The sequence below is a fragment of the Homo sapiens genome, chromosome 7 (genome assembly GCF_000001405.40).
Source record: "Homo sapiens chromosome 7, GRCh38.p14 Primary Assembly".
Lineage (NCBI taxonomy): Eukaryota > Metazoa > Chordata > Mammalia > Primates > Hominidae > Homo > Homo sapiens.
This window is the reverse complement of record NC_000007.14, coordinates 130,656,500-130,668,272: the sequence shown is the minus strand read 5'-3', so window position 1 is coordinate 130,668,272 and position 11,773 is coordinate 130,656,500. Positions and strand designations below refer to the sequence as shown.

The 11,773-nt window shown below is 38.0% G+C and overlaps 1 protein-coding gene across 2 annotated transcripts in view, besides 1 other annotated feature; it reads left to right on the top strand.

Annotated features, from left to right (window-relative positions):
* The window catches only part of COPG2 (coat protein complex I subunit gamma 2), a 162,511-nt gene that overhangs the window by 476 nt on the left and 150,262 nt on the right, over positions 1–11,773 (top strand). For both annotated transcript variants that reach the window (NM_012133.6, NM_001290033.2), the window contains exons 2-4: positions 739–791; positions 1,344–1,424; positions 5,235–5,306. In NM_012133.6, the coding sequence (NP_036265.3) occupies positions 739–791; positions 1,344–1,424; positions 5,235–5,306 (206 nt within the window). The remainder of the gene's footprint in view (positions 1–738; positions 792–1,343; positions 1,425–5,234; positions 5,307–11,773) is intronic.
* Positions 213–322: an enhancer, noted in NCBI's record as "active region_26657". NCBI's record gives its function as "activates an Ori minimal core promoter by ATAC-STARR-seq in GM12878 lymphoblastoid cells {active_cell/tissue: GM12878}" and the evidence as "EXISTENCE:reporter gene assay evidence [ECO:0000049][PMID:35858748]".

Below are 11,773 nucleotides of genomic sequence, written 5' to 3'. Positions count from 1 at the left end.
ACCCCTAGTGGGAGCACCCTGTTCCCGGGGCTGGGGTCGACGGCACAGGGTGTGTGTGGAGGAACGTTCAGGTGCCTGGTACCTTATCGTTTTCCTGGGGTCACCGGCTCTGTCCAGGTCCCCGGGGGCAAGACTGTCCCGTGGGACACAGCTCGTTGAATGCTCAGGTGTCCAGAAGTGACCTGCGTCTTGATGCCCGTCTTTGGTCCAGAGCAAATGGGGAAGATGCCAAGCATCCTCAAAAAGAAAAAAATTCTCAGTGTTTGGTAGCATCTCCCACAGTGTGAGAGGGGGTTGGGTTAGTCAACCTCCATGGCCTCTTGCACCTTTACGCCTGCATGATTCTCTGGGAAACTTCGTTTCTGCCTCTCCTTAAGTGTTAGAAACACATAAAATACTGCTTACCTAAGGAAATCAAAAGCACCCTACTACAATCTCATTAATCTTCGTTGTTGTGGAAATGACACATTTTTAACATTCATGGAAAAAGAGGGCAGGGAAAGAAGACACTCATTTTGGAGAGGGTTGCTGCGAAAGAGAAGTCTCAGCTCTTCGAGTATGGCAGTGACAGAGCCGGGATCAAAATGATTTCATTCAGTTCGTATGCGTATTAGCCATGATTATCACTGTGCCATCCAAGTGTTCACTTCCCAAGCATTCAGTACCCTTCTCTGGAAAGTATATAAGTTTGTGTAGAACAGCTGTTCAGGACATTTTTTTGTTTTGTTTTATAAATAGGTAGTGGCTCCAATCCTTTCCAGCATCTGGAGAAGAGTGCTGTTTTACAGGAGGTATGACTGGGAAGTATCTTGTGCCCTTTCTTTTCTATTCTGTTTTAGAGTGGTGGGCAGAGAATCCCTGGGCTGCTGTGATCACGACATGCAAAACAAGAAACGTAACAGAGTTTAGGGAATATAGATTTGAGGGAAAAGAAAGAGGGGTTACTTGTCACAGGAGAATTTGGAGCTTATAGAAATGCAAAGACATGAAGACTGTCACAGGTTGGGAATTTTAAATGTAAGAACAGGTGTTTAGTGCAAGGTTATTGAAATCAGTTATCTGTATTAATCTCATTGTATTAGTATGATATAGATAAGTATTGTGATCCTTATTTAACTGGTATAGCCCATAAAGTTGAAGTAGTCAACCTAAGGGAATGAGAAAGTATAGGATGGAAAATCAAGGCCACGTGTAATAATTTATCAGATACCTTAGTAAATTGAGAACTATAGACAATGTTCTTTGGATACCGTGATTAAAAATAGTCTGTATTAAAGTTGATTTGCTATAATCTGTGATAGAAAAGGTAGAAAAGTAGCAATGTTTTTTATGTTTTTTCATAGGCTCGTATATTCAATGAAACTCCAATCAATCCAAGAAGATGTTTGCATATTCTTACAAAGATTCTTTACTTACTGAACCAGGTATATTATTTTTATTTTCCTCAGATAAGTGTGTCCTGGAATAGAAATACTGAAGATTCAGTGAAATACTTTCTGGAAAGTATATTTATTTATTTTAAATTCACTTAATTTTAACATATACAACGTTTGGTTAACAAAATAATATGTAAAACTTGAGTACGAGGACTATGACATATACAGGTTGAGTATACCTTCTTTGCAATGCTCGGAACCAGAAGTGTTTTGGATTTCAGATTTTTTTGGATTTTGGAATATTTGCAGAATACATACTCACTGACTATTGCTAATCTGAGTATCTGAAATCCAGAATGCTCTGATGAGTGTCTCCACTGAGTGTTATATTGGCACTCAAAAAATTTCTGATTTTGGAGCATTTCAGATTTTGGATTTTGAGATTAGAGATGTTTAACCTATACTTCCTTTTTATTCATGAGATCCTAAACCAGTGATGCGCATAGTAGATTCTCAATAAATCCTTTGGTTTCAATTTAATGAGTACTAGTTAGAGCATGTTGTTTACATGTATTTGGAGATCTTCATGTTTTTCTGAAAATACAGTGCAAGATCAGGCAAATTCCAGATATTTTCTTTTTTATGTGTGTAATGATGTTTTAAAGCTTTGATTGTTAATATTCAGATTTTATATTTATTATCCCTATGCTACCATTACTAGCAGAATAATTCTGGGCAGTAGCTTAACCATTTTATGTGCCTTGATGTCCTTTTCTCTACATGGGGATTATGATAATACCTGTTACAGAGTTGTAATGACTAAATGAGATAATTAGTGTAAAGCACTGAGAATAGTCCTGAACATACAGTAAGCATTCAGGAATAGTTTTCCTTCCGTCATTCAGCAAATATTTATTGCGTAGCTGCTGTGTGCTGTGCACTGTTTTAGGTGTTGGGGATATAGCAGACAAACCAGCAAAAATATTTGCGCTCATGAAATGTAGATTCTGCTTGCTGCTGTTGTTATTAATTTTTCTTTTCTTTTTCTTTTTTTTTTTTTTGCCCCAGACTTAAAAAAAACTCATGAAATGTCTAGGGCCTTAGAAAATATGATTTTGTTTCATGGATTCATATTCCCTCAGTATCAGTGGGGAATTGGTTCCAGGACCTCCATTGGATACTAAAGTCCATAGATGCTCAAGTCCCTCATACAAATGGTGTAGTATTTGCATATAACCTACACATATCCTCCCATATATAAGTTGTCTCTGTGATTATAATACTTAGACTATAATCTCTAGATTACAATACCTGGTGCAATGTTAGTGCTGTGTAAATAGTTGTTGTGCTGTATTGTTTAGGGAATAATGACAAAAAACCATCTGTACGTGTTCAGTACAAACATAGTTTTTTTTTTCCTTGAATATTTTCAATCTGAGCCTGGTTGAATCCACAGATTCAGAACTCATGGTTATGGAGGGCTGACTATATATGTCTATACACATACAGACGGACACATAAAACATACATATATACCATATACCTCAGGTGGTTTACATATGGTGCTAAGATAACCATGGTTTCCAATTTGAATTCTAAGAGAATATATTATCTTTACTTTGTTTTGTGACTGAAGACCTCACTCAGAGATTTAATAAAGTTTTCTTGTTTACAAATGAAGACTAAGCAACAAGCACATAGATTTTTTTTATTTTTTGAGATGGAGTCTCGCTCTGTTACCAGGCTGGAGTGCAGTGGCGCAATCTCGGCTCACTACAACCTCCACCTCCCTGGTTCAAGCAATTCTCCTACTTTAGCCTCCTGAGTAGCTGGGATTACAGGCATGCACCACCACGCCTGGCTAATTTTTATATTTTTAGTAGAGACGGGGTTTCACCATATTGGCCAGGTGGGTCTCAAACTCCTGACCTTAGGTGATCCGCCCACCTCAGCTTCCCAAAGTCCTGGGATTACAGGTGTGAGCTACTGTGCCTGATCATCAAACACATAGTTTTAAATAAAATATATCTGTTCACAAACAACATAATCCCTCTGTGTCAGCATATGAGAAACATTTAAAGCATAGTCAATTGGGTTTAACTTTTCATAGCACACATTGTGTCTAAGTTGGCCAAATCCATTGTATAAACAAAAGTTTTGAATAGTCAAAGTTGATTGAGAGTAACATGTATTTTTATGTTGGTCATTACCTCTTCAATGAGGCAACTCATGTTGAAACATTTAATTATCTTGATAAGGAAATTACCAAGCACAGCATAAACACAATTAACTATATAAACAGGTTTGGGAACATAAATTTTATCTCTTTGCCTAGAACTTGGTAGAGCTTTATAGAAAGATACTTTTGAATTTCTATGAGAGTTGACATATCCATGTGTTTTCTGAGTTTCAAGTAAAAAAGTAGGATGTAAGGTTTTCCTGTATAACTAAAAAGCACACAGACTTCTGGGTATTCAGTAAATAGTTGTGAAAGAAAGATAAATCTCATGCTGATGAGCAGGCTGGATACACTGATTTAAGTAAGTATAAACTTATTGTACTTTGTCTTTTATCCTAAACTGTCAGTATTTTTCACCAAAATTTATTCTTATACCTATGGCAAATAGATTGAAGACTAGTTATATTTTATGTGGAATCTGAAGCTCTGAAAAGTGATTGAGTGTAACGTATTATATAAGATTGCTTTTAGTGAAGACATTAAATATTGAAATGGTAATATTTGAGGTAATCTATGATTTGAGATGTTTTGAAATACGTTATCTAACACTTTTTCACTGCTCAGAAAATGTAGTTCCCAGATCAGCATTTGCATCACTTGTTAGAAATGCCAAATCTCAGGCCAGGCGCAGTGGCTCAAGCCTGTAATCCCAGCACTTTGGGAGGCCGAGGCAGGTGGATCACGAGGTCAGGAGTTCAAGACCAGCCTGGCCAACATGGTGAAACCCCGTCTCTACTAAAGATAACAAAAAATTAGTTGGGCGTGGTGGTGCACACCTGTAATCACAGCTACTTGGGAGGCTGAGGCAGGAGAATCACTTGAACCCAGGAGGTGGAGGTTGCAGTGAGCCAAGATTGCGCCATTGCACTCCAACCTGAGCAACAGGGTGAGACTCCGTCTCAAAAAAAAAAAAAAAAAAAAAAAAAAGAAAAGAAATGCAAAATCTCAGGCTTTACCCCAGAGCCACTGAATCAGAATCTGCATTTTGGCAAGATCCCAGGATGAATTGTCATGCTCATTAAACTGTTTGAAGCTCTGATCCAAAGCATGTTTTTAGGGGCTTGAACCAATATTGAGCTACATAGCAGCCCCTTAAGCCTAGTTTTTTAATATGATGAATCTGGTTCCTGCCCTTTTGGTTGGTCCCCTTCTTGCCATTTTGCTGAGATTCTGAATAGATAGTTCCTTATATTTTAATATTTATTATGCTCCCATGACATGTTAGGCATTGTGCTGGGCATTATAGATATGATCTCTGCTCTTAGGCAGTGTAATAATAATGTCCTATTGTGAGTGCTGTAATTTTCTCCCTCCTTGTAAACTACAATACTTCAGGAAAATTTCAGATACTTTCTACTAAAAGTTTAGAGATCACTATGCCAGAACTTTTAAGCATGGTATGCGATACTGAATTATTTTAAATAAGGGGGGATAAATGGCTATGTGGGTTTATGCATTGAAAGCCAGAAAAATTGCAGAGGCAGAATGTTTACAAAGAGATTCTTTTTTCTTGAGTTCTAAAGGATTTTTGCAGAAATAGAAAATCCTGTGTGTGTATATGTACATATATATGAATATACACTTTTTAAAATTTAAAAATTGTTTTAAATTTTACTTAGGGTGAACACTTTGGAACAACGGAAGCTACAGAAGCCTTCTTTGCAATGACGCGATTGTTTCAATCTAATGATGTAAGTCTTTTTAAATTTTTTTTACGATGAAAAACCTCCTTTTATTTATTTTCCCCAGGGAACTAAGAGTGTTCTAAATTAGGGAGCATTGCTTGAAATGTTTTAAATTATTTAACTGCTTATAAAACTTATAAATATTCATTATAAGACGTGAAAATGGAAGAATTAAAGTATGCAGTGTAAAACTTTTCCCTGCAGATCTACCGTGAAGTCATAAAGACTGTTAATACCTAGCTTCTGGCATGACACTGTGAAGGTGGACTGATAAAGAAGTCAGTGCACATAGCTACCACATTTGTCAGTTCTTAGTCAAGTTTCTGGTGGGCCTGGGATTGCTGTTAGTCAGCAGTGCTGGCAGTTGAGAAGAAGAGCTGGATGTGGAGTGGGGAAGGGGAATAAGGAATAGAATAAGGAAAAAGAAAAATGAGTACAAACTAAACCTGCCTCTCATTACCTTAGGCCACCCTGACCTTCAGAACATACAGCTGCTGCTTTTTGTCTGTCTTCTAAGTGTTGTGTACATTTTTCTTTTGCCTAGCTCTAAGGCAGAACCATACAGGGAAGGTAATTCTGGGATATGTATTTTCCAGCTTTCCATTAACATAAATTGGCCAAATCCTGCAGTTTTTTGGTATGTATTGCATATCATCACATGTCACATTTTGTGTCAACCCCCAGAACCTCTTGAGATTTGAGTCTTGTTATGGATCTAAATAATGAGAGGTTTTAGGAGTAGATCTTCAGGAAGATCAGCAGTCCCCTGTAAGGCAGCTGTTTCAGGGGAGGCCATTATATACTCTACAGGCAAAGGAAGACTAATTTCCTCACATATGGGATAAAGGACTGATGCTTCTACTAGCAGAAGATGTCACAGAATTTAGGAGTTCGGGGTACTTGGCTTCATCAGAGTCTGTCCATATATCTTCATTCTACTTTTCAGGGCCCCATTCCTTGCCAGTCAAGGTCCTAACTTTAACATAAGATGTCCTGCAAGAGTGTGAATTCAATTTGCATTGTAACTGAGCCACCTGCAGGATATACTTTGTAGAAGTCTCAGCCCTGTAGCCACATGATATAAGGCTTTCTATGAAGGCAGTTATAGATTTCTGGCCCCCTTACCCAGATTTGAGTAGTGCTTTTAAAACTCCGAGCTCATCATTTTCTTTTCCTGAGAAAAGAATTATCCAGTGTACCTAGAAACAACTAATTAACCCATTATACAACTTATTTTTACTAAAATCTTCTATGGCATCCACTAGTTAGTTACCCAAGGCTTTGTCTTCTGTAGGTCCTTGTCTGCAGATGATGATTTTAAATATTTTGCCACTGCATGCTGTGGACTACTAGTAGCCCCTTTACCATTGGAAACTGGTCATTAATACCTTCAATCAAATCAGAGAAGCAACTTCAGGTTCATATCTTTAAGGACTTCTTTTAACCACTTCCTGTAGCAGAAATTCAGGGTTCAGACAGGGAAACAGAACCACTATGAGTATTGTGGAATTAGGTGTTTATTAGAGGAATTAGACTAGAAAACTAGGCAGGTTGAGCTGCTGGAGTAGGGTTCAGAGGGAGGCTGTTACATAAGTCATGGAAGGCTATTGCCTCTTTTGTGGCTTTGTTTTTGCAGCCAGGTGTCTTCCCAAGGCTGCTGTTACTCAGAGGGCTGGCAGTTGGGAAGAAAAGCTGGACATGTAGTGGAGAAAAGGAAGCAGAGTAAGAAAGAAAAAGGATGAGGACAAACTTTTGAAGCCTGTAGCACAGAGGTTTATATTAAGAAAAGAAGATATGAAATTGTCTTCTAGGAAATGGATTAGGGAAATGTAGGATTGTTCGATAGGACTAATAGCCTGTTGAAGTTAGTGCTTATGAATTTAAAGTATTACCAATGTTTTTCTCCAGCTACATGGTGAATGTTTTTCTCCAGCTACAGCCTGCAGGTTAAAGCACTGAAGGCTTAGAGATAGGATTTAATCAGGATTGAAGTTTTGCCAGGTTAGTGAACAGAGGGAGAAGCAAAAAAGTTGAGTGGTTGGAACATCGACTGTGGAATCTTCGGTTAGGAGGGAAGCAAGAACGGGCTGACAGGGACAGCAAAAAGTTGGTAGAACCAGTGGATTGTAGGTCAAGAGAGAGTGAAAGAAGTTTGGAGTCAGGAGTGTGAGTGCTTGGGAATGAAATTAGAAAGGGATGCTGTTACTGATAGGCTGTGGCAGTGGGTGATCATTGTAGGGAGGATGGCATCATTGGAGAAGAGGAGGTCGAGGAATGAAGAGGTCAGAGGTTTAGAGATACCATCTGTATGGATATTAAAATCACCAATACTTATTACTGGGATTGCACTGGAGAGACAGTGAACAAGGTACTGGTATTTTTTAAAAATAAGGGAAGTGACCTGGGGTTTAATGGACAACCAGCAATGGTAGCAGGTGACATAGTATAAAGGCATAAGCTTCCCCACCTGTAGGCCTGGTGGTATGAGGGTTATGGGAGAGAAAACAGCTGCTATTTCAGAGGGTTGCAGGAGGATCCCTGGGAGAGAACCAGGTTTCAGTTAAAGAAAAAGATGGGAACATTCAGAGAAGAGTTTGAGAATATAGGGGATTTTGCTGATGAAAGTGTCAGAGAATATAATGGCGCTGATTAGAAGGGTGGAAAATGGAGTCAGACGAGGTGCTGTACCCAGATGCAAGGAATAAGTCTGCAGGTTATGAATAATGACCAGAGTATTTTAGGCTTTTTGTAGTGACTGAGGTAAGTAGCCATGTACAGCATGATGTGATTAGTTTTAATGATTCCTTAGGCAAAAATACGGAATTGAGGGAGTGATTGTTTTGGGACAAAGAGAGGTAGAGATTTTGCCAGAAATACGTGGAGCTCCTTCCGTTACCAGCATTCCTTTACCAGAAGGTAATTACTGTCTTGAAGTTGGTATTCTTCTATCGTTGTTTATATTAATATATGAGGATTACATAGTTTACATCTGTAATCAATACTTTGCATTTTTGTGTGTCTTAAAATATAAAAATAACATCTTCTTCTTTTGCAATGTTGTTGTTGTTGTTTTTGAGTTGTCGCCCAGGCTGAAGTGCAGTGGCGCGATCTTGGCTCACTGCAGCCTCCGCCTCCCGGGTTTGAGCGATTCTCCTGCCTCAGCCTCTGGAGTAGCTGGGACTGTGGGCACGTGCCACCATGCCTGTCTAATTTTTGTATTTTTAGTAGAGACAGGGTTTCATCATGTTGGCCAGGATGGTCTCAATTTCCTGACCTCTTTATCTGCCCGCCTTGGCCTCCCAAAGTACTGGGATTATAGGCCTGAGCCACCACACCCAGCCTGCAGTGTTTATAATTAATACATTTTTAAGATTTACTGGCTTGTTACATGTACTTCTACTTTATTTACTTTCACTACTATATGGAATTCCAATATGTGAATATACAGTAATTCTATTTATCCATTCTCCCATTGGTAGATATAAGTTGTTCCCACATTTTACCTATTACAAATGATACTGCACATAATGTTTATGTACACAGTGAGACTTTTTCTGGAGTAGATACCTACAAGTGGAATTTCTAGATAATGCTTGTTTGTTCGTTTTTTTTTTTTTTGAGACGGAGTCTTGCTCTGTCGCCCAGGCTGGAGTGCAATGGCATGATCTCGGCTCACTGCAACCTTTGCCTCCCAGGTTCACGCCATTCTCCTGCCTCAGCCTCCTGAGTAGCTGGGACTACAGGCACCCGCCACCACACCTGGATAATTTTTTGTATTTTTAGTAGAGACGGGGTTTCACTGTGTTAGCCAGGATGGTCTCGATCTGCTGACCTTGTGATCCGCCCGTCTCAGCCTCCCAAAGTGCTGGGATTGCAGGCGTAAGCTACCGCGCCCGGCCTAAGCATATTTTCATGTACTTATTTGCCATCTGTATATCTGCTTTGATGAAGTGTCTGTTAAAATTTGTTACCACTTAAAAAAATCAGGTTGTCGGCTGGGCCCGGTGGCTCACGCCTGTAATCTCAGCACTTTAGGAGGCTGAGGTGGGCAGATCATGAGGTCAGGAGTTTTAGACCAGCCTGGTCAACATAGTGAAACCCTGTCTCTACTAAAAATACAAAAAATTAGCTGGGTGTGCTGGCAGGCACCTGTAATCCCAGCTACTTGGGAGGCTGAGGTGGGAGAATCACTTGAACCCAGGAGGGGGAGATTGCAGTGAGCTGAGATCGTGCCACTGCACTCCAGCCCAGGTAACAGTGCAAGACTCCGTGTCAAAAAAAAAAAAATCAGGTTGTCATCTTACTGAGTTATAAGTTTCTTTATGTATTCTGGATAGAAGTCCTTTATCAGACAGATGTTTTGTAAATATTTCCTCCCAGTCTGTGGCTTGCCTTTTCATTTACTGGACTATTATTTTTTTTTTAAGTGTAGTTTTACATGCGGTAAAATTCATCCTTTTTAGGGTATCATTCTATGAGCTTTGACAAACACATATAGTGGTGTTATCACCACCACAATTGAGGTTTAGAACATTTCCATCTCCTCAAAAAGTTCCCCCGTGTCTCTTTATCATCTGTTTCTCCTTGCCTCCCTCAGCCCCTGGCAATCTATCTCCTTTCTGTCCTTATAAATTTGCCTTTTCCAGGAAGTCATATGAATGATATCATACTGTATGAAGCCTTTTTTGAGTTTCTTTTCAGTTACTTAGCATAATGCATGTGAGATTCATCCATATTATTGTTTGTATCAGTAGTTTATTTTTATTTTGTCGTCGTATTCCATTGAATGGATGTACCTCTGTTTATCTGTTTGCCAGTTGAAGGATATTTGGCTTGTTACCAGTTTTTGGTGATTATAAACAACATTGCTATAAACATTCATGTTTTGATTTTTGGATGAACATACATTTTTATTTCTTTTGGATAAATGCCTGGGAGTGGGATTGCTGGGCCATATGTAGGTATGGTATGTTTAACTTTGTAAGAAACTACCAACCCATTTTTCTAAAATATTTGTAATCATTCCCGCCATCACTGTATGAGAGCAGCAGTTTGCTCTGCATTCTGGCCAGCACTTTGTATTGTCGTTTTTATTTTTGTTTTTAATTTTAGCTATTCTGATAGGTGTATAATGGTATCCCTTTGTGACTTAAATTTGCATTTTTCCAATGACTGATGATCTCAAACATCTTTTCATTTGTATTTTTACCTTCCGTATATCTTCTGTTGGTGAAGGATTTGTTAATATCTTTTGCCCATTAAAAAAATTGGATTGTTTATTTTCTTATTATTGAGTTTTAAGAGGTCTTTATGCATTCTGGATACAAATCCTTTATCAGATATGTTTCACAATTATTGTCTCTCAGTATATGGCTTATGTTTTTATTTTGTTAAAGTCTTTCAAAGGGCAGAAGTTTTAAATTTTGATGAAGTCCAGTTTATCAAATTTTTTTCTGTTACAGGTGATGCTTTTTATGTCATATCATAGAAATCTTTCCTTAACCGAAGGGGACAACGATTTTCTCCTGTGCTTTTTTTCTGGGTGTTTGTAGTTTTATATCAATTACCTTATGATCCATTTCATATTGATTTTTGTATATGGTATAAAGTAATGGTTGGTTTCTTTTCACCTCTTTTCTCTTCCTCCATCCACTGCCTCTTCCTTTTCTTCCTTCTTCATTTTCTCAACACATGGTTCTGGAACAATTGAATATCCATATGGAAGGAGAAAGGGGAGGAGGGGGAGGAGATGATGAAGATGATTGAGTTACATTGGCACGTTGGCACATTATTTTGTCTCATTGACCTATATGTCTGTTCTTACTTTAGCTCTATGCTGTCTTGATTAACTATAGGTTTAAAATCTATAGTAAGTTTTATAGTGCAAATCTTTCTATTTTTCAAAATTGTTTTGGTTCTTTTGGGCCCTTTGCATTTCCATATGGATTTTAAATATCTATATTATATATAGATAATATAGAAATATGTAGATATCTAGAAATAGACAAGGTTATATTATATATAATATAATCTTTTTATATAGATATAAAAATGCTGCTGGAACTTTGGTGGGGCTTGCATTAAATCTAAAGAGCAATTTTAGGAGAATGGACATTATAGCACTATTGAGTTTTCTGCTTCACAAACATGGTATATATCCCTTTATTCAAGTCTCTCTAACTTCTGTCTGCAGTATTTTATAGTTTTCAGTGTACAAGTCTTGCACATATTTTGTGAAATTTACCCCTAAAGTAGATAGTATGTTTTGATGCTTTTGTATTTGTATTGTTTATTGGTAGTCTCTAGAATTAAATGAACTTTTATATATTGACCTTTTTCTTGTGATCTCCTTAAATGTTTGTTAGAGTTCACTATTGCAGCTGTCTTCTTAGTGGGAAGGCTTTTCGGGGTTAATTAACTTCATTTAAAAAATGTATATATGATGCCATTCAGGTTATTTGTCTTCTTGAGTG